The following is a 22,759-nucleotide window of genomic DNA, read 5'->3' as shown; positions in this document are numbered from 1 at the left end:
TTCCCAGACAGATAACTTGTTTTGTCACAGAAGGAAAAGAACAGGAGGTAGAGTCTTCATTAGCACAAGTGCAAGTTAAGGATGTAAAGAATTCTGTGCTGAAAGACTGTGTTCTGGTGCTTTTGAAGGTCTTCCATGTGTTTAGGTTCACACATTCCTCCTCCTCCCTGATGCCCCCACTTTCCAGGGCAGACACGGCTGCTGCCCAGTGAGTCTGTATCCTAGATGAGAAACACACTGTGTGATACAGATAGAATTGGGATTGTTCTGGTCGGGTGCAGTGGCTCACGCCTGTAATCCTAGCACTTTGGGAGGCTGAGGTGGGCACATCACTTGAGGTCAGGAGTTCAAGACCAGCCTGGCCAACATGGTGAAAACCTGTCTCTACTAAAAAAATACAAAAATTCACCAGGCATGGTGGCACCTGCTTGTAATCCCAGCTACTCAGGAGGCTGAGGCAGGAGAATCGCGTGAACCTGGGAGGCGGAGATTGCAGTGAGCTCAGATGGCACCATTGCACTCCAGCCTGGGTGACAAGAGCGAAACTCCGTCTCAAAAAAAAAAAAAAACTCACAAGAATTGGGATTATTATTATTATTATTTTTTATATACTTTAAGTTTTAGGGTACATGTGCACAATGTGCAGGTTAGTTACATAGGTATACATGTGCCATGCTGGTGTGCTGCACCCACTAACTCGTCATCTAGCATTAGGTATATCTCCCAATGCTCTCCCTCCCCCCTCCCCCCACCCCACAACAGTCCCCAGAGTGTGATATTCCCCTTCCTGTGTCCATGTGATCTCATTGTTCAATTCCCACCTATGAGTGAGAATATGCAGTGTTTGGTTTTTTGTTCTTGCAATAGTTTACTGAGAATGATGATTTCCAATTTCATCCATGTCCCTACAAAGGACATGAACTCATCATTTTTTATGGCTGCATAGTATTCCATGGTGTATATGTGCCACATTTTCTTAATCCAGTCTATCATTGTTGGACATTTGGGTTGGTTCCAAGTCTTTGCTATTGTGAATAATGCCGCAATAAACATACGTGTGGATTGTTCTAACTCAATGTAGGCCAGTTCCCCATAGGCACCAACTCCCTACACTGCTATGACCACTGCGGAAGGGCCATGGCCCTAACACTGAGATTTCCAGGCAGGCTAAGGCATTTGCCCCAGGGTTGTTAATAGGCCTATGGGAGGACCAAGGCTGGGCTGGGTCACCTGCTGGAACCTCCTACTCCACACCTCACACTAGAGGAGCAGAGGAACACAAAGATGAGTCAACACCTTGTACAGTGTATGCCAGGCTTTCTTTGCCGAGGACAGAGTTCTAAGCTTCAAATGAGCACCCTGGTGAAATCCAAGTGAAAAGAGAAGGAACTGGTGGCACTCGTATATTGCATTAAACGCTAATGAGAGTCTCTTTAAATCAACAAATATTGCACTCCTGCTATGTATCAAACTTTTTCTTAAGTTGTTGTTTTGACTAATTTAGTAGAATTTATGATCAAGTATCAGCAAAAATGAGGTGTAAACTCACATATATACTAACATTGTATCTATTCAGAATTCACTATAGACTACTTCAGGTTAATGCCTTTCTCAAGGGACCAAATAACAGACAAATCAACAAGAAAATACACTTCTAGTCTTTTCTCCACCACACATCCCACAGAAAAGTAACTCACTCAACAAATCAGGTTATCGAGCTTGGCTCACCTCAGACACCTTCGCAGATGCACGTGCCTAAGAGAAAATCAGATTCCATCCACTTAAGCTGCCTTCTTTGAAAAAAGTATCAAACCACTCCGTAAGTCTTCTATAAACTGCTAATAGTAAAATGTTTTAGGAACTGGAATGGGAAGCATGTTATGACCCAGGAATACAATATATTTTGGGGGGAAAAGGCCCCAAGGTATTTCAAATAGCTGAAATCCTTATATTGAACGTGTTTCCATTTAACACACACACTCTTATCAGCTTGAAATGATTTTTTTTTTAAATTTTAGCTTCAAAACCATCTCACTCCTAAGAAAGGGAAGTCCAAACTAAACCAAGCATTATGTACTGTGCAGAGGGCAGTCTGCCAGTACCAAAGACCCAAGTTCAACCCGGGGCTCCAACACTAAGCACAGCCCAGACTCATGTCCAAATCCCCAAGTTCGGTTTCCTCACTCTGAAAGCAATGTCAAGTCCCCACTGCAAGGTTTACAGACACAGCACTTGCAGTCAACTGGCTGGCAGTGACTGTGAGCGCAAGATGTGTGACTGAAAGGGAGACATGCTCCATGGGAAGCCCTCACTGCTGCCTCGTGGTCCACACAGAAAGGCAGAACAGGAGGAGAGCTGCGTGCCAGCAGCCCTGTCTCAGGGCTATTTCTTGCCACACCTGTCTTGGCAACTCTACTCACGAATCATGTGGATCTGGTCCAAGGCAGAGAAGAGAAAATACAAAGCACATTTTGGTTTCCCAGAGGACACTGGGGAGACAAATTCATTCTAAGCAAATACTTAAAACCACGAAGGCCTGGCCTCTTACAAACGGGTTAAACCGGGTACATGTTGTTTATACTGACGGTTTACTTCCGCTACCTCATAGTGTGTGAAAAAAGGTTACCAAGAAGAAGGATCCATAACTCACTCACTTAGAAATATCAAAATTTTGATTATCAATGGCCAACAGTCTGTCTAAATTGTCTTCTCACTAAAGGAGTTTAATTACCTCAGGGAAAAGAAGGAAAACGCAGTTGTAGAAGTCTTGATTTCATTCACACAATGAACACTCCTAATGTTAAATCCACGAGCAACCAATGTATCCCTTATTTTGGGAAAAAGTACGTAAGTTTGGATTGCAAGAAAAAGTACTTGAGTCTATGTCTCATGTCTCAAGACACATTTTGAATTATAGTCAAGTTTCTGCCAAATCAAATGGGCCGTCTCCAGCAGGTGTCCCCAACTCACCCCCAATTCAGACAGCGCTGGGGTGGGGCAGGTTTCCAGATGTCTCTCCATGATTTACCCAAGAAGCTGAGGTTCTTCTCAGGTGATGTTTGGTTCACTGGCAGGTTAGGGGTGATTCAGACCTCCTCTTCCCACGCCCCCCTCCAGGCCACTTTCTAGAAAAGATGTTCTTTTTTGCTTGCTTGTTTGTTCTGGGACCCAGGGGATTAGAATTATAGTAGCATTTCCAGATGAATTCACTTCCCTAGGAGTTTCCTATACTCCTGGAACGACAGCTCCTTTCCACGGAAAGCAGTAGAGAGCACTTCATTACAGTCATGCTCACTAACCTGCCAGGGCTGAGGGCTCATTGAGGGGCAAGGAAAGATTCCTGTGCGAGTTTCTACCAGGGGCTTTCTGTCGATTTGCTTATGGAAAAACTCCCCATGACCCTCAGAGGTGAGCACTATGTCCTCACTTGATGGCTGAGGAAGCTGAAGCTCAGACAGACTCACTGCTCCGCCCAGGTTCCATGGAGGGCAGGCAGGACCCGACCCAAAACCTGCTCCAGACCCAAGAGCAGCCTGTGGGGGAGACAGCTACCAAGAGCAACCTGCCAACACCAAATCCATCCATGATCCTGTCCGATGGAGATGTTCCCTGAGAGATTACTCACTTTGCAAAAAATAAAAAGGCAGACCCCAAAAGAGTAAATTAGGGGGCTAATGTTCACCCCGAGTACTTTCGGTGATGGTCCTGATGGGACCAAAGCTTGATCAGCCTGGACAAAATCTTCAACAATGCAAAAGACACAACGGTTAACACTGAATCACACAAACAAGGTATGCATGCCCAGTGACAGGCTGCTGGGAATGCCAAAAACAAAGATTAAAATTATAAAGAGCAAAAGTTTTAGTAAGTATTATCTATTAAATCTGTTCTGATTATAAACATAATACTAGTTATGACAATTGTGTACATACACAAAGGCACACAGAAAAGACCACCTGTGGCCAGGAGCAGTGGCTCAACGCCTGTAATCTCAGCACTTTGGGAGGCCGAGGTAGGCGGATCACTTCAGGTCAGGAGTTCGAGACCAGCCTGGCCAACATAGTGAAACCCTGTCTCTACTAAAAATACAAAAATTAGCCAGGCGTCGTGGTGGGTGCCTGTAATCCCAGCTACTCAGAAGGCTGAGGCAGGACAATCACTTGAACCTGGGAGGTGGAGGGTGCAGTGAGCTGAGATCATGGCACTGCATTCCAGCCTGGGTGACAGTAAGATTCTATCTCAAAAAAAAAAAAAAAAGAAAGAAAGAAAGAAAGAAAAAAGGGAGAAAAGCCCACCTGTAACGAAAATACAACAATACCCACTACTGACAGTTTAATGTATTCTTATATTTTTGATATGCCAATGAACTTCTTTAATATTAAACTAGACTATCATAAATAATCTTGCAGCTTTTTAAAACTTAACATCAGGCCAACAGGCATTTCCCCTATGCCATTATTCTTTTTAACACCATGAAGACAGCACCAGTCTGCCAAAAAAAGGGCAGAATAATGTAGATTCTCCCCTCCCATTAGAGGACCAAGGACAGTCGTTTGGCTGTATAAACAATGCTGTGATGAACCCCCTTGCATATATGTTTCTGCTAGCATTTCCTGAAAAAAAAAAAAAAAAAAAAGTGGGGAGGAATGTTACATCTTCTGCTCTATGCCTGCAGTGCAGGGTCTGAGATGTGGGTGGCACAGAGCTTACAGTCAGCACAGGACCAAGCCTGTGAGGTCTCCAAGGACAGGTGTGATGAGACTTGCAGAGAAGGAAAGCAGTCTGAGGTCAGATGCCCCAGCACAAGTCTCAGCCATTGACCGAGCAGGGACCAGAAGTGGATTAGGCTAGAAATGTCACCACATGAGGAATACACCAAGAGACTGAGGCTGGTCTAACAAAGAAGGAATGGAGACAACTTAATTCTGGTGCGGGAGGTGGAGATGGGCAGGGAGAGGTGGTGGTTCATAGCGAGTCCTGTGACAGGCAGGATGACCACAGACATGAGGTGTGTGGAGACTGGGCCAATGATCAGATTTAATGGTTTTAAAGTAAGTGAAGCAGCAAGGCATCAGAATGTACAGCATTCAACTGGCAATTAGGTGTGTATCTCTAAACCTACTACAAGTACTCTAAATATAAAACAAGTCTGAATCTTTAGTAAGAAGTCCCCCCTAAGGCATATAAAATCGGAATTGGGTTACCCAGCCATTTTCAGGAGTGATGTTCGAAAGCAGCACAGAGCACGCCCTATGGTCACACCATGAGAGTCACACACAGTGGAGTTACAGCAATAGATATTACGGTTATCATCTGAAAAAGGTGGCCTGGATCACAGCTAAATCTCTTTCCATCATTGTAAGTCTGTTATTCCACATGGAGAGTAAAAAGGAGTGAAGAAGTAACTTCTACAATTCAGAGTAGTCTTTGCAGCCAGAGCCAACTGATACTGCTATGGTATAAACGTTACATGCCCCCAAAACTCTCGCTGAAACCTGACCTTGAAAGTGATGGGTGTTAGGAGGTGGGGCCATTGGAATGGGATTAGTGCTCTCACAAAAGAGACCCCAGAGAAACCCTCACATTTTCTATCACTCGAGGACACAGCTCGAAGGTGCCGTCTAAGTGGCCCTCACCGCACACCAAACCTGCTTTTGTCTTGTACTTATCACCCTCCAGAATTGTGAGAAATAAACTTCTGTTGTTTGTAAGCCACCCAGTCTCAGGTATTCCATTAGAGCAGCTCAAAGGGACTAAGACAAATAGCCACCATAAACACCTAAAGGAAGCTGCAGATCTCTAGTTCCACTAAGGTGGAGGAGCCATCTCCCCAGGTCCTTCCTCTCCCAACTGAAAACCCGAGACAGAACCTCAGACAACCCTAGAGAGAACACAGCAAGCAGGCCCAGGAAAACTGAAGCGGGAAATAGGACAGGCTGCTGGGGACCTCAGGACTTGAGGGATGACGGACAGGGAGTATGCCGTTTTCCTCACTCCCATGTATCCTGGACAGCATGCTGCAGAAGAAACCTCCAACTGGGCCTTTCCAAGAGGCGTAGATAACAGCTCCATGGGAGGCCTGTTCTCCATCGCCAAGGGACTGAAAAGAGGGTGACCTAACAACAGAAAACCACTCCATGACTCCTGCCCTACTCTAGCCAAACAGCAACGGGAAAACCACAACGCCCCTGGCAGCAGCCCCACAGCACCGCGTGGCCAGAGTGGGGAGTTGATCTTCCAGCCCATCCCCAGCCCAGGGGAAGCAGGAGGTGCTCTGATTCCACCACCAGATGGTGTCAGCAGGCCGATCTCCCAGACCCTCCCTGGCAGAAGCAGGCAGAGGTGATCCGGCTGCCCTGCCAAAGCAGTGTTAGTAGGGCAGTTATCTAACATCCCCTCCCAGGGTTACATTAGTGGGGCTGAGCAGTGAGCAGTGAGCTAAGCCTCCACCTCTACTAAACAGCAACGGGTGGGTACAAGGTGGGGTTAGTTAGTTGACATGACATTACACACACCCACTGAACCAGACAGTGCAAAACAGGGTTCATGGGCCCATCGGCTCTCCCAGCCCCAGCCTTGGGTGTCTGGGCACCCAGTGGGTACTGAGTCTTCGCCCCATCTGGCTAATTAAAGAGAACAAAAGAGAACTCTCCCATCTAGCATCAAAGAGGGAGAATCAGGTAGTAGAAAGTGGGCCTGGTTGGCATGTTGTACCTGACCCCCCCACCCCTGGTGGGGTCAGCTTCCCTCAGAGGGAAGCTGAGTTCTGACCTCTACTCTGCAGAAACAAGGTATGAGGCAGCCCTCTATGGTCTCCCTGCTTCCTGGTGTCAGCAGTGGCTGAGGGAGCCAAGCTTACACATCTCCCCCAACAACTGGACACAATAAAGCAGTGTGCACTGGGGCCCCTCTTTTGTTTGGAAAGTACCAGCAAAGCCAAGGAGAAATCTGAACTTCCAACTTACCTAGTAGAAACAGGCAGAAATCTTAGAATTGAAAAATATAATTAAACATAATTTTAAAAACAATCAGTGAATATGAGGCAAAATCAATAGAATTTACTCAATCTGAAGAGAGAGAAAATCTACTGGAAAAAAATGAACAGTCTCAGGAACTTACAGGACTAACAAAAGCACTAACATTCTTATCATCAGAGTTCCAAAAGAGAGGAAGGGACTGGAAAAGTATTTAAAGACATAATGGCTGAAAACTTCCCAAACCTGGCATAAAACGTGAAACTCCAGATTCAAGATGCTGAGTGCACCCCAAAAAGGATAAACCCAAAGAACCCATGACAAGACACATCACAATTAAACTTCTTAATACTAAAAGACAATCTTGAAAGCAGCCACATAGGAATGACACATAACTTAGTTGAGAACACCAATTCAGATGACAAGGGATTTCTCATCTAAAACCATAGAGGCCCTAAGAAAGTGGCATGTTTTCCAAGTACTGAAAGAGATACATCAACTGCGAATTCTATCTTCCGTGAAGATATCCTTCTGGACTGAAGGGGAAATAAAGACATTCCCAGAAGGAGAACTCAGAGGAGTTGTTACTAACAGACCTATCATTAAAGAACTAAGGAAGTTCTCTAAACAGAAAGGAAATGACAAAAGAAGAAAGCTTAGAACTTCAGAAAGGAAAGAACATTGGAAGGGGAAAAATGGAAGCGACTATTGGTAGACTAACAGTACTTTCTTAAATCATATTTGATGGTTGAAGCAAAAATAACAATACCAACTCATTCAGTGCTCAATGTACATGGAGGAAATACTTCAGACAATTATATTGGAAAAATGGGGCTAACGGAGCCTAAAGAAAAGTAAGGTTTCTACTCTTCAGCTCCCATCATAAAATGCTGTGACCATTGATACCAGTAGACTTAGAATATATATTTCACACACATACTGTAATACCTGGAACAACCACTAAGAAAATGATACAGAGCAATATATTTTAAAACACCATAAACATATCAAAACGAAATCCTAGAAAATGTTCGTATAACCCACAGTAAGGTTAAAAAACAAAAAAAGAAACAAGGAACAGAGGAAACAAAAAACAAATAACAAAAAGGCATTTAGACTTACATATATTATCTTAAATGTAAATGGTCTAGACCATTTAAGAGACAGATTGGGCAGACTAGATAAAACAGGTTTATCTAAAGACATGCCATATATAAAAAACTTATCTCAAATACAACATATGCAGATGGAAAGTGAAAGGATGGAAAAAGATAATACTATGTTAACATTAATACATTAATGTTAAAAAAGCAGAAGTGCTATTAATACCAGATAAAGTACATTTTACAGCAATGATAGAAGATTGGATCCAACCTGAAGACATTTTAAATGTGTAAACTCCAAACAGCAGCACCTCAAAAGACATGAAGCAAACTCTAATAGAGCTGAAAGGAAACAGCTGGGGATTTCAGCACCACATTCTCAGCAACTGACAGAACAAGACAGTAAAATCAGCAAGGACAGAGAAGAACTGAACAACACAATCAACCAGTAAGATCTGAAAGATGTATATATAACGAACACTCTACCCAATAGCAGCAGAATACAGATGTTTTCAAGTACCCAAGCAGCATAGATCAGTCACCAAAAGAGACCATATCCTGAGCTACAGAACAAATTCTCGACACATTTGTAAACCGAAATAGAATAAAATATGCTCTCTGACCATAACAGAATCAGAAAGAAAACAGTAACAGAAAACACACTTAGGTATTTTTGGAAATAAAACACACTTCTAAATAACCTAGGGTCAAAGAGGAGGTCTCAAAGGAAATTTAAAAATATATAGACAGAACTCAATGAAAATGAAAACACAACATACCAAAACACGTGGGATGCAGCTAAGCAGTGGTGGAAAGGAAATTTCTAGCGCTGAATAAATGCGTACATTAGAAAAGCGAAAGGGGGTAAGACTCCACCATCTCTGCTCCTGAGACATGGCTGCTTGGTTTGTGGATGGCAGTTCCAAGGTGAATGCACAGCACGCTGTTTGGCAGGCTGCCATTCTAATTGAAGAAAATCCTTTTGCTTTTGAGTTATTTATAGCTTATGATTGAGTAAAGTATACTTTCATGAGCAAAATTTACCTTTCTGAGTTCTCCAAAATTTGGAAACTACTCATGAGTATTCTTATTTTATGGCAATATAGTTATTTGCATAAGTTCAGTTAAGAATCTGTTTTCTTTTGTTCAGTCACCAAAATAGACCATATCCTGAGCTACAAAACAAACCTTGACACATTTAAAAGAACTGAAATTGTATAGAGTATGTTCTATATGCAATTGGAGACATGGGTTATTTTACCAAGGCTTTGACTGAATAGCGTATTTTCAGATATGACCAGACTGCTTTAAAGAATAAAAAGCCCCTTGAAAAAAGACAGGCCTGGTACCTTGTCTACACAGTTCCCTTACAAGGTTCCTGATCTTCGATAAGCAAAGAATGTCATTTTCCGACAGGCCCAGGAACCTCAAGATACTTTGGGACCTCGAGGAGAATGGAATTCACCCGATCTGTAGGTATTACAGGCAATGTTTGCTGGCAAATTTTCAGCTTGGCTTTCAAGCCTGGAGGCTTCTAAAAGTCTAATCTGAGATTCCTTATGAAAAAATTCCAGCAAAGCCAACTTAAAAAGAGCCTATATGGCCAATCACTATTCTTGTTGCACTTTATGCAAATAATCAGGCTAAGTATAATGAGACTAAAATGTATTTTGCAAATAAATTGGTCCTTGGTAGGAATGGGGAAACTGGAGAAAAAAATGTGCTCCAAAGAAAACTACAATACCTGTTAACAGATTCTAGCCCTAACCATTATTTTTGAGTTTTTATTATTTGCCTACAACTCAAACTGCATCCTGAATTACTTCCTAGCTACAAGTCTCTAAAGAAGAACCGAGTTCTAATTTTCTTCATGTTCTTTTTCATTATAATCTTTGTGTGCATATTAACAGTATTTATCTCGTTTTACTTCTTCCCAGAAAACCAGAATCATGGTATTCTGAGGACTACAAATGATTCAACAAAGCCTGAGAATCTCCCTCATTTGGAATTCCACTGTGCCCGATTTATTTTCCATTGCCAAGGCACTACTGGTAAAGCTATACAAAATGAAGCACACCCACTGAAGGTTCAGGGACCATGGCAGAAGAGCAAGGCACATGAGACTGTAAGAGCCAGATTGGGAGCTGGAGTGTGGAGGCCAAACAACTCCATCTTGTATGCTAATCTGCTGTGTTAACTTCTGATTAACCCTGGTTTTGCGAATGCCTCCAAGATTTCTATTTTATCTACTGTTCCTTGGGTATGAGCATGTACTTACCATCAATCCTGTCCTTAGTTTGATATTATCTTTCCATAAATCCTGAACTTAAGCCAACTGTCCTATACATCCCTTCTGAAGCATATATACACTTTCCCTATGGCTCATAAGCCCTGGGTCTGGAGTGTAACCATGCACGGATCTACCATCTCATCTTGAGGCTGCCCGAGATAGGGTTTCTGTTTGTAAATACCTATTAAATGTTTCTTTCTGAGAAAACAATAAGAAGAAAAGAGAGGAAAGGTCTCAAAACATTATTCCAAGTGTCTGTCTCAAGAAACTAGGAAAAGAACCTAGCACAAAGCAAGCAAAAGGAAATAATAAACAATAAATTTAATAATAGGAAAGTAGAGAAAAATCAGTGGAACAAAAAGCTGATTAAAAAAATCAAAACTGATAAACTTTTGGAAAGACTGACAGAGATAAAAAAGACACAAATTACCAGTATTAGAAATGAAGCAGGGGTTATCACAACAGATCCTGCATCCATTAAAAATATTGGAATGCTACAAATACTTTTCACATTCATAAATTCAACAACTTAGAAGAAAGGGACCAATTCTTCAAAAGCTACAAACTATCAAAACTCAACTGGGAAGAAACAGACAACCTGAACAATCCTACAAAAACTAAGAAAAAAAAAATCTATAATCTAAATGCCCGCCCGCCCCCCATCCCCCCCACCCCCGCCCCCATCCCCCGCCAAAAAAAAAATCTCCTGGCCTAGATGGTTTCACTACAGAATTCTACATTGAGAAAAGAATCAATACCAATTTTACACAATATCGTCCTGAAAATAAAAGAGGGAACCCTTCCTAATTAAGGTTCTGATATAAAAACCAGTCTTAAAAGAAGACGACAGACCCCTCTCAAGAACTTAGGCGCAAATACTCTCAACAAAATATCGACAAATTCAATCCAGCAGTGCACAAAAAGAATTACAGACCCTACCCACGCAGGATTTGTCTCAGACATCCAAGAGAGACTTAACATTGCAAATCAATGGAACGTACCATATCAACAGGTTAATATAAATTAACATCATGGGATCATATCAACTGGTACAGAAACATTTTATAAAATCTAACATCCATCCATTTACGACAAAAACTCTCAGCATTCTGGGAATACAGGTTAAAACTTCCTCATTCTTTTAAAGACGACCCATATAAAACCTACACTTAGCATCATATTTAATGATTAAAAACAGAAAGCTTTCCCCCTAAGATTGGGGACTAGGTATGGATGTTTGCTCTCACCACTCCTAGTCAACATAAACACTAGAAATTCTAGCTGGTGCAACTGGGCAAGAAAAAGAAATGTACACAGATCAGAAAGAAGACATAAAACTGTCCCTATTTGCAGATCACATAACTATATAGACCTCCCAGGAAATCTATGAAAAACTCTTAGAATTAAGGAGTTCAGCAAACTGCACAACAGAAGACCAACACACAAAAATCAATTGTATTTCTATATACTACAAGTGAACACATAGATGCTAAAAGTAGGGCCAGGTGTGGTGGCTCACGCCTGTAATCCCAACACTTTGGGAGGCCAAGGCGGGCAGATCACCTGAGGTCAGGAGTTCGAGACCAGCCTGGCCAACATGGTGAAACCCATCTCTAATAAAAATACAAAAATTAGCTGGGTGTGGTGGTACGTGCCTGTAATCCCAGCTACTTGGGAGGCTGAGGCAGGAGAACCGCTTGAACTTGGGAGTTGGAGGTTGCAGTGAGCCAAGATCGCACCAGTGCACTCCAGCCTGGGTGACAGAGTGAGACTGTCACAAAAAAAAAAAAAAAGAGAAGTAAAAGTACAATAAATACTTCTTTTAATCCTCCCTGAGTTCCAGCTGTGCCAGGGCCTTGCCAGAACATGCAAACACAGTGTCCTTCAACAGGTGAATAGCTAAGCAAACTGTGGTGCATCATCTATGGAATACTATTCAGCAATAAAAAAACAAGGCACTATTGTTACACAACATCTCCGATTAATTTCAAGGGAATTATGCTAAGTGAAAAAAGCCAATCTCAAAAGGTCACATACAGTATGATTACACTTATACAGCATCCTTGAAATGACAAAAGTACAGATATGTAGATCAGATGAGTGGTTATCATGGGTAAGGAAGAGACAGAAAGGTGGCTGTGGCTATAAAAAGGTACCATGAGAAATCCTTGTGGTGGAGTTGTTCTGCATCTTGACTGTGGTGGCGGCCATACAAATCTACACATTTGATAAACCTGAATAGAAGTAAACACTCACAGACACATGAAATGGACTGCATGTGAAACTGATGAAATCTCAATACAGTAGATGGATTCTGTTAATGTCAACTGCTGGTTGTGACAGTATACTATAATTAGGCAAGATGTTACCATCGTAGGAAACTGGGTGAATGGCATATACAATTTCTTTGTATTATTTCCTATAAATGCATGTGAATCTGTAATTATCTGAAAAAAAATTTTTTTAAGATGTAAATTTAAAATTGGGTAACTAACAATTAATAAATGTGTTTGGAACTAGTAAAGAAAAATATCTTTCTCTTCTAGCACTTTCTCTCCCCACTTAGGACCTAAAAAGTTTCCTTATTTCTCTTGGTGTCAAACAAGTAACTTTGGGGTTTCAGAGACAGAGCTGGGACTCCCTCGAAGACACCTCTATTGGGAGGCTCCAGGCAGCCTGAAGGTGCTGAGAAAGCATGTGCTCTACCATCTACTTTTTGAAGTCCGAATATACCATGGAATTTAAAGAGGTAAAACAAAACTGTATTTGCCTGAAGAATGCCGCTGTTTACAATGCTCATTTAATGTTTAAAATGCTTACAAGATTCTGCTAATCACTTCCATTCTCCTAAGTCAACCAAACAACCCAAGGAGTAAGCTTCATGGAAGTGATGTGCCCTGAGTGGGAAGAGTCAAGCCTGGCTTGCTAGAGCAGCACTGCACACTCCAGCTCCTCTGTGAGGCCAGCCTGTTTAGATGAAACAGAACACCAGCCACAAATCTAATTGTGCATTTTTCTAGTAGCCATGTTTAAAAAGGTAGAAAGAAACAGAGAAAGTCAATATTAAAATACATTTTATTTAATCACCAATGACCATATGACAAAATGCTCAAGGAAGAGGGAGAGAGGTGGCTGTGGCTATAAAAAGGTATCATGAGAAATCCTTGTGGTTGAGTTGTTCTGTATCTTGACTATGGTGGTGGCCATACAAATCTAAGCCAGTAAATATAAATCCAAAGCACAGTGAAAGATCACCTATATCCTCTAGGATGACTACTGTTAAAAAAAAAAAAAAAAAAGTGTTGGTAAGTATGTGGAGAAACTGGAACCCTTGTGCCCTGTTGGTGGGAATGTAAAATGGCACAGCCTCTATGGAGAACAGCATGATGGTTCCCCAAAAAATTAAAAATAGAATTACCATATGATCCAGCAATTCCACTTCCAAGTATATATCCAAAAAAATTCAAAGCAGAATCCCCCAAAAGATATTTGCATACCCATGTTCATAGCAGCACTACTCACAATAGCCAAAAAGTGGAAGCAACCCAAGTATCTCCTGATGGATGAATGGATAAATGAAGTATGTGATATACACACACTGGAACAACCTTCAGCCTTAAAAAGGAAGGAAATTCTGACATGTTGCAAGATAAATGAACCCTGACGACATTACGCTAAGTGAAATAAGCCTGTCATGGAAGAGCAAATACTATATAAATTTCACTTATATAAGGTATCTGAAGTTGTCAAATTAATAGACAGAAAATAGAATGGTGGTTGTCAGAAGCTGGGGGGAGGGGGAAATGGGGAGTTGTTTAATGAGTACAGAATTTCTGTTTTGCAAGGTGAAGAAGTTCTGGAGATTGGCCGCACAACAAAATAAGTGCACTTAACACTACTGAACAGTACACTTAGAAATAAATGGTTCAGATGGTAAATTTTACGCTTTGTGTTTAACTGCAATACAAGTTTATATTTTATTTAACCTATATATTTAAAACACCATTTCAACATGTAACCCATATGAAAACAATTAAACTATTTTGCATTCTTTTTTGTCTCCTCAAAATCCAGTGTGTATCAATAATGACAGCACAACTCAGTTCAGACTAGTCCTATGTCAAGTGCTTAATGCATGTGTGGCTTCCCTGCTGAGTAGTGCTGAGCTAGACCTCAGCTGTCACCACTACGTGGCAAACCTTACAGCTAGATCCAGGTAATTAAAAACACTTTGGCAGAGCAGAGGTCAGGATCTTTTTCTTGCTACCTGCCTTCTTCAACTTTATTTGTCTGAAAGGCTAACAGGCAGAGCTGGACTGACTCTCAACATCTCCTGGGCTTCTCCTCTTTGTCAGGCACTCGCTAGCATCTGCAGGCCATTATTCCCCGCCCAGGGAGCTCACAAACTAAAGGAGGGGTCAGACAAGTACCAGCTATAAGAGAAGTACCCACAAGACGCTGAGGAAAAAAAAAAAAAAAAAAAGAAAGCCATTAACTCCCATCTGTGAATTCCAATGTGCCAGGGAACAAGTATAAAATTTAAGACATTTACTAACATGACACTAGGGAGCATTCCTCCATATCCTGACTTTTCTCAACTCTTATTTCCAATTGTACTGACTACACTTTAGTGTACTGACTACACTTTAATTTCCATTAAAAACACATATGGCATAAAACACTCATCCAAAAAGGCACTCAGTAAACCAACACATGTGAGTGATTTTGATAAAAATAATCAGTTATTCACTAAGGTATCATTTGTCAAGTTAATCCTCCCAGAGTGTAAGGAGACTAAAATTGAGGAAAAGTGAAAAAACTGTATCTGTTGCCCCACAGAGAAATATATTCCTTGAACTTGTCTTCAGAAAAATCAGAGACATAAAAGGAAAATATGAAAACAGTGTTAATACAAACACTCAACTACTATACATTCCTCCTAAGACTTGACTTTCTCATTAGAACAAAGTTTTGCAAAACAAAACTTCAAGACACACTGATCTCTACCCCAAGTTGCTGAGCAAAAAACTGCTTTGCAGCTAAAGGAGCCCCTGGCTAAGGCGAACCTCTTTATAACCTCACATTTGTGTTCCACTAGTTCAAACCAATCATAATGACTTCTTTGTGGAAAATGTATTTTGCAATAAATTATCAAAAGCTTCATTGAAGAACTTCATGGATAGGGTTGAGTAAAGAATACTAAACAAAGTCAAGAGAACCACTTATCAACTCAGCATTATTTCAGTGGTCTTCAGGCATGAACTAAGACTGTAGAATGTCCAGAGAAAATTATGGACTACATAAATTGTAAATTTTATGCTTCAATTTAAGAAACTCACATCTGGCTAAGTCCTTTCCTCCCCCAACCCCAACTCATCCTCTCCCAAAACAAATCTCCCAAAAACTTAACACTGAAAACTTACCTCGGTACATTAACTTTAAACAAACTCCTCGTAACTTCTCATTTAATCCTATGCATTAAACTCTTCATCACACCATCTACTGAAATGCAGCTAATACTATAAAATTACACCTCAGGATCCACTACTTTACTTCACAGGTATAACCATTAGCTGTGCATAATTATTTAGATTATGATCTTTGAAGCCCTGTATATTTCATCTCAAGTAACAGTGCTTAACTTATAATTAGCTTGTAAAATAGTATTTATCAACAAAAAAAGCATTTGTGCCTGTCTTTACATTAAAAAATACACTATCTCACCCACTATTCCCAGTTCCAGGGAAGGAGAAACTATTTCCATGCATTAACCCATCACCTACAGAGACCAATGTATGCATTTTGCTTGAAAGGGAACTGGTTAGAGAAAATAGCTTAATAACCACAAGTGTGAAGCTTTTGTTGTGAAAGTGTGAAAAGCTAATACCTTCCAGAGGGTCTTTAATGCACGTGTGTTTCACGATACACACCATAAAGCCCTGTTAACTCATTTAGTAAGCAAGGATGTTATAGTAAGCGAGAATGATCATATATATGGGGGAGCATTTTCATGAGTACAACAAAAACTACAAGCCAAGAACTTCTAAGGCTGAAATGAGTTCACGAGCAGTAGTAACAGCAATAATAAAACTTCCAGCCCCTTTCCCTAAGGAGGGACCCTAAAAAATTACCTCCTGGCATTTGGCAAGAGACGTGCAGCCAGCATGTGTAGCTGCTGGGATGTCTGTCATTTCTCCCCACCACCTCACAGGTGTGCCCAACCTCTGACAAGTGACCACCACTCTGAGGTTCTTTCCAATTCTATAACATGGGCAAAGGCCTGCCTGATTTACCTCACTGAAGCCTATGAAGACAGAGCTGGATGGTATTTAGAAATGTCATTTTGTTCCAGTGTCTGTTCTGATGGGTTTGTTGAGTTAGCCTTCATCATGAGGTACAATCTAAATTATAATAGACTCTGTACTGGGTTTCCTAATTGATAACTCTACCAACTTACTTCTATCTTGTTCATGTATGGCAAGCTAATCTGGACAAATGGTCAATGTGATTGACTACTGATCAAGACATGAACCTTTTCCATTGGTGGGGAACAGCAAGTCGATCAACACAGACTCAGCCCCTCACCAAGGTTACCCAAAGTATGTACCCAAAGTCACATGCTGTAGGTTCAAGGGCCAAATCAAGTCTGCAGATGTTTCTTTTCAGCTTGTACAATGTTTTCAAAATCTGAATCAGCTGTCAATGTTGAAACAGGGTATCTGGCATCAATTTTGCATTCCTAGGTTATCTTGCAATATAGGAAAACCCACCCTGAGACCACATGCCCTCACAGCCACAATTAGGTGTGGCCCAAACATAGAAGGGGCAAATACTCTCCAATTTACCAGTCTCCACCAGGTCAGTTCCTTCCATGATTTTGCTGTGGGCCTCTGTGGTATTTATGTTAGCCACTCTTGGTTCAAACCCTACTACTGCCTTTAATCCCTGAAATAAAAACCTACAACCTAATCTGATTAGTACTATGTCCAAACCCTCTGAGCAATAAGCACAAAGAGGAATTTAGGCAGAAAACAAACCATTTTCATGGTTCTATGTTGGTACTGCTTTCATGAACTAGTTCATTTTTTTAAAAGTGTTATTTTCAAAAATGATTGTCATCTTTCTTTACACTTTTGATTATTAAGCTATTTTCTGTAAATGATCAGTTCCCTTTCAAGCAAAATGTCATTACTATGTAAAGCCTGGTGGTTAAAACACACTTTAGCTTAATGAAGACAGACCTGAAAGCTAATGTTTGGACCTCAACTCATCACTGCCACAAAAGTTAGTAACTTTGTAAAAATGTTGATGTGGGCCATGCGCGGTGGCTCACGCCTGTAATCCCAGCACTTTGGGAGGCTGAGACAGGCAGATTACAAGGTCAGGAGATTGAGACCATCCTGGCTAACACGGTGAAACCCCATCTCTACCAAAAATAGAAAAAATTAGCTGGGCGTGGTGGCACGCGCCTGTAGTCCCAGCTACTCTGGAGGCTGAGGTAGGAGAATTGCTTGAACCCGGGAGGTGGAGCTTGCGGTGAGCTGAGATTGCACCACTGCACTCCAGCCTGGGCGACAGAGCAAGACTCATCTCAAAAAAAAAAAAAAAAGTTGGTTTGATAGTTTGACACATCCTCCATTCCCATCTAAAGATGGAATAAATCAGTTACGGGGTTTTAAAAGGGGATTTTAAATGCCACACACAGCCTTCAAGCAGATTCAACCATCCACACGTCAACTGCCTCTTACCCAGGCATTGCTTACCCATTGCACTGAGATAGTGGTTGAAGGCCTGGCAAGGAGGACTTGGGGTTTGTGTTGATTTGTCACAACTCATGGGTGCTGGGCTCCTGTCTGTGTCAAAAGAGAAATACCCACTGGAGGATCGAGACAGCAGGGAGGATCTTCTCATAAAGATGAAAAGCGGGGATCTGGTAGCAAAAGGGCCAGGGCTGGCAGGTGGGGCCAGCGGGCCCTGAGGGCTGCCGTGGGGGCAGCTGTCCCCTTCACCTCCGTGATTGCCTTCAGGATTACCTTGTGGCTCTGTCTGTAGGGAGGTAGGGGCCCCAGGTCTGAGCTGGGGAGGCCTCTCCGCAGGCTGCAATTGTCTACCTTCTCGGTCACACTCAGAACTTACATCAGAAGGTTGCTTTGCCATTTGGTCTTTTTTTCTGCAAGTAAAATAAAAACTAAGATTATTTTAAGCAAAAAAAAAAATCGATGAATAAACAAATTAGCTCTCACCTAGCGATTAAAAATTCTTAGGGTTAATCCCAAATACTTTGTTCTATACTTTTCTGACAATCTCCCAAATAAAAAAATTGCACCTAAAATAATAAAGGTGTAATTTTTTTTTGGTAGAGGGTACCCCCAAACAAAATACAGTAACAATGTCAACAGCTTGCGGAACTGGTGCACACACACATGCGTTTCCAGAGAAGCAGCTAATCTGAAGTCTATTCGTGTGTGCTCTTTGCCCAGGACAGACTTCTTCGAGTAAGTCAGAAACTCCCAGCGGCTCTGACTTCCCGGGGTTAGGTAGGACGCCGGAGCACAGGAGCGGGCGCAGATGCAGCGATTGCAGGCGGCTGGCCGCGTTCCCTGCTCCGGCCCCATTGTTTGCCGAAAATGCTGAGGGCAGCAAGTCTGGGGAAGGTCTGGCAGCGGCCGTCAGTCGTAGTAAGTGCGTCACAATAGAGTTTGTAACTCCAGCGCGGCTCGGCCCGGCTCTGGCGCTCTCTCCGCCCGTGCTCCCTCCCTCCCGCTCCCGTACCGCACGCCGCACCGAATCAGACAGAACTTCTCTGAGGTGCACACCGTGAGGTGCACATCTCTAAATGGGGAGGGGGCGGCGGAGGGCGACGAAGCGAACGCCTGCAAGGTCTACAACTAGGTCCGCAGGCTAGGCGACACCGGTGCGCGCCGCGCCGCCTTCATCCCACAGACCCTCCCCTCAGAAGGCAATCACACCGAAACTCACGTCCGCGCCTTCCCTTCAGAGCGCAGCGTCCGGGCCAGGGACCAAGCCCCGCGGCGTCCGGCCCGCGCCCTTCGCCGACCGGGCGCCCCCTGACCGTCACCACGAAAGCAGCGCAGGAGACAAAGCCCGGGACTCGGGTTCAGAGTCCCCGGCGCAGCGCAAAGCCCGCGCCTTCCCGCCAGCCCGCCGCCGCGCTCCGCCGGGCAGCCGAGGGCTCCGCACGCCGCGCCTCTGGCCCGCGCTGCCCCGGCCGCAGCCGCCGGGAACATCCTCCGCCTCCTCCCGCTCCTCCCCTCGCGCTCTGCGCCCGCCGCCGCCGGCACCGCCGACCTCCCCGCGCCGCTGGCGCCGGGTGCCCGCGTTCCCAATTGGTCCGCGCGCGGTCGCTCCGCGCCGCAGCCAATCGGCAGCCGCGGTGGGGGCGGCGCCTACGGGTCAGGCCGCCAAAGGCGAGGCGATTGTTGACAAACTCGCCTCCGAGCGCTGCTCTGGCCGTGGTCGTGGCGGCTGCCGCTTCGTCGGAGGATTTGAGGGCCGGCTGGCCCGGCCACCCTGCCCATCCCTGTGCTCCTTCCGGACACAAGCCTTAGCAGCTCCCGCCGTCCTGGACAGCCAGTCACCTGGAGACAAAGCAGGACTTGCGCCGCGCCCGGACCCGCAGGGCCATCCCCAGGCCCAGTCCTCGCCACTTGTCCTTGTTTTGGCCCGTCGGGGGCAGACCCTAACGGCCGTCACCGCCCTGGCTGTGGCAACTATTCTCCTCCAACAACTTCCTCTCTCTCCTGGTGCGCCGCAGACACGAGTCAAAGCCGAAGAGCCACCCCTGGCCGCGGACGCGCACGTCCGCGACCATCGAGTAAATTCACACCCTCCGCCCTGGCGTCCGTCGGGCCCTCCACCAGCAGCGCCAACCCTGGGGCAACAGGTCCCAGAGGGCACGGCGCCGCCAGCCTGCACCGCGAACCGGGTCGGGTGTGCTCGGGCATGCGTGAGCCGCTAAGATAGCCCGGCCCAGGGACCGAGCAGGTTCTGCCGGCCGCGACTAGTCCCCTGCGCGGTCCAGGTGGTCAGGGGAGGACCTAGATTTCTCGCTGCCAGGGAATCGTGCGGATGGCACAGGCCGCAGGACTCCTGCAGAGCAAGCAGGGGCCCCAGGTACGCTTGAGAAAGCGAACGCAGCAGTGGCCCCGAAACCTTGGCCTGAATGAGTAAAAGGAAAAGCCGTGTCTCGTCAGTTAAATCACCACCGCAGTTCCGCAAATCCTCCGCAACAGGCCCACGCGCCCCAAAAAACCAAGACACGAAACACCCTCACACTGCGCGGCCGCTACTCTGAGGGCGCCGGAGCCGGCGGCGAGACTTTCCAGCTGGGCGCACAGCCCGATACTACGAGCAGGTCCTCAGCTCCCGGGCCGGCGCCGAAAGGCACGCGCTGCCTCTCCTCCTGCCCGGACCTACGACCCTTCACCAGGCCCGCGCGCAGCATCCCGTCCCAAGCCGCACTTCGGCCAAGAGCCTGCAGGTTCCGCGTGAACGACTTTTCTTTAAAGAGAACCTGCCCGAGAGGGAACCCGATCCACACGGATCCCCACCTCCCGCCGGCGACAAGCGGCGCCGATGCAAGCGTCTCCGCTCGCACGTGCACGGGAAGCGGGCAGTAGGTGGTGCCGTTCGGGCTCCAGCGCTAGTCTTCCTTCGGTGCCAGGCCCGCGCCCCGGGATTTGGAGGTATTTACCTTGCGTTTCTCAGTCCGAGAGTCAGAGTCAGACATTTGGGGGAACAAGGGCCAAGAAAGGGCGCCGAGGCGGTGGCGGCGGGAACGCAGCGAACCGAATACCGCGATGATGCGATCGCAGTGTGGCAGGGTTCGCAGGGTGGCTGCAAGAATCAAGTGGTGGTAGTGGCGGCGGCGGCGGCGGCGGCGGCGGCGGCGGCGGCGGCGGCAGCGGCAGCGGCGCTGGACGCAGAGCTCCAACAAACTGCAGACCAGGCGGCTGCGCGGAGCGAAGTGAAACCTGCGCGGCCCTGCAGCCCAGCTCTGGCTGGCGGCCCCGCTCCTACGCCCAATCACTGCGGACCCCGCCCCCGCTAGGTCCCGCCCCGGCGCGCGGGCTGGCAAGCTCCGCCCCCCTCGGCGCCGCGGCCGCCGGCGCGTGCAGGCTCGGACAGGTAAAGGCGGGGGTTGCCCCGCTGGGTTGCCTCCCGCGCGCGCCGCCGTCCCTGGCGTGTTTACCGGAGTAACTCTGCCTGCTGGCGGCCATGTGCGCGCCCATCCCCCACCCCGAAGTGTACCCTAGCCTCCCGCTCACCTACCCCAACCCGGCGGCGGCCGCGGCGTGCGCGGCACAGAGGGGGCGCTCCGGTCACAGCCTCCGCTGGCCCGGCCGGCGGTGTGAAGCCTCGGGAGGCGCCCTGCGCTCTCACTGTGCCCTGAGTTTCTAAGCCGCTCTGGGGCAGGCGCGGGGACTGGGTTGGTCCTCGCGAAGGCGCGGGGCGAGGTCTTTGAGCTCTCCTCCCTCTGAGGGTCCCTGGCGCCGGGCGGGACGCGGATCAGCAGGCTGCGCATCTTCCTCGCCCGGGCCTCTCGCGGGACTCAGGCACCCTCCTCCTGCCACCCCGCAGGGGCTCTCCAGCTTTTCTTCCGCGCCCAGTCGCCCTAAGAGACAGAGGCCGTGGGGGCAGGACGCGCCCAGAAAACGGCCAGGCGCGGTCCCAGTGGGCGTCTTCGCCGCCTCCCGGGTGAGGGCGGGAGGCATGTGCAAAGCAGGTAAAATAGGGAAATGAAAAAAGCACTCAGAAAAAAAAATCCTTTTAGGAAAAAAAAAAACGAGGTGAATGGCGGCCTCCAAGTGAGAGAGAACGTTGCGCACTGCATTTGGCTAGGACCCCCAAGATTTGCTGGGCTCGCAGATAACCTCGTAGGAGCTCCCTCGACTGGCTGAGGCCAGTGAAGGCAGAACAGCTGAGTTCGGGCCGCGGTGCGGGAGCGCAAAATACCCCGTCCCTCCTCCCCTCCCGCCTCCCCACCCATCCCTTTCCTCCCTGGAGTCCGCAGCACCTCACTCTACCTCCCAGGAGACCAAACTCCATGCCGCCTCTCCAGTCCTCTGAGTCTGCACCCGGGTCTGCTCTCCCAACGCGTGGCTGGCGCCCCAACCCCGGCCCTCCTGTCTGCTCCTCCCGCGCCTCAGTTCCCCAGCCCCAGCTTCTAGACAACTGCAGCGGGGGTGTGGGAGGTGGATCGGGAAATGGAACATCCCGCAGGTGAGGTCAGGCTAGATGGATTAAGGAAACTCTGTAAAGGGACCACCCTACACACCACCGCAGCCGGCAGGGAGAAGGAAGGGGCCTTGCCGTAGAGGAGCAAGTGAGGAGGCGTTGTCCCGCCGTCCGGCCGCCTGGAGCAGTTTTTA

The 22,759-nt window shown here is 46.0% G+C and overlaps 1 protein-coding gene across 33 annotated transcripts in view, besides 6 other annotated features; it reads right to left on the bottom strand.

Moving 5' to 3' along the window:
- BCL2L11 (BCL2 like 11) overlaps positions 1-21,356 on the bottom strand; it is a 47,532-nt gene extending 26,176 nt beyond the window's left edge. For 7 of the 33 annotated variants that reach the window (NM_001204108.1, NM_138624.4, NM_138622.4 and 4 more), the window contains exons 1-2: positions 21,082-21,356; positions 18,131-18,537 (exon numbers count right to left, since the gene is read on the bottom strand). In NM_001204108.1, coding sequence (NP_001191037.1) covers positions 18,131-18,524 — 394 coding nt within the window. In that variant the 5' untranslated portion in view covers positions 18,525-18,537; positions 21,082-21,356. The other 26 variants (XR_007068189.1, XM_005263553.4, XM_017003101.3 and 23 more) reach the window with 11 other exon arrangements.
- Positions 19,272-19,831: a silencer, noted in NCBI's record as "silent region_11866". NCBI's record gives its function as "represses an Ori minimal core promoter by ATAC-STARR-seq in GM12878 lymphoblastoid cells {active_cell/tissue: GM12878}" and the evidence as "EXISTENCE:reporter gene assay evidence [ECO:0000049][PMID:35858748]".
- Positions 20,624-20,918: a silencer, noted in NCBI's record as "tiled region #8028; HepG2 Repressive DNase unmatched - State 1:Tss, and K562 Repressive DNase unmatched - State 1:Tss". NCBI's record gives its function as "represses a minimal TATA promoter and a strong SV40 promoter by Sharpr-MPRA in HepG2 and K562 cells {active_cell/tissue: HepG2 | K562}" and the evidence as "EXISTENCE:reporter gene assay evidence [ECO:0000049][PMID:27701403]".
- Positions 20,624-20,921: a biological region, named in NCBI's record as "Sharpr-MPRA regulatory region 8028".
- Positions 20,802-20,921: an enhancer, noted in NCBI's record as "active region_16382". NCBI's record gives its function as "activates an Ori minimal core promoter by ATAC-STARR-seq in GM12878 lymphoblastoid cells {active_cell/tissue: GM12878}" and the evidence as "EXISTENCE:reporter gene assay evidence [ECO:0000049][PMID:35858748]".
- Positions 21,252-21,791: a silencer, noted in NCBI's record as "silent region_11865". NCBI's record gives its function as "represses an Ori minimal core promoter by ATAC-STARR-seq in GM12878 lymphoblastoid cells {active_cell/tissue: GM12878}" and the evidence as "EXISTENCE:reporter gene assay evidence [ECO:0000049][PMID:35858748]".
- Positions 22,072-22,151: an enhancer, noted in NCBI's record as "active region_16381". NCBI's record gives its function as "activates an Ori minimal core promoter by ATAC-STARR-seq in GM12878 lymphoblastoid cells {active_cell/tissue: GM12878}" and the evidence as "EXISTENCE:reporter gene assay evidence [ECO:0000049][PMID:35858748]".

Source organism: Homo sapiens, chromosome 2 (assembly GCF_000001405.40).
Source record: "Homo sapiens chromosome 2, GRCh38.p14 Primary Assembly".
Taxonomy (NCBI): domain Eukaryota; kingdom Metazoa; phylum Chordata; class Mammalia; order Primates; family Hominidae; genus Homo; species Homo sapiens.
Note: the sequence above shows the minus strand (reverse complement) of the source record. Positions and strands in the feature narration are given on the sequence as shown.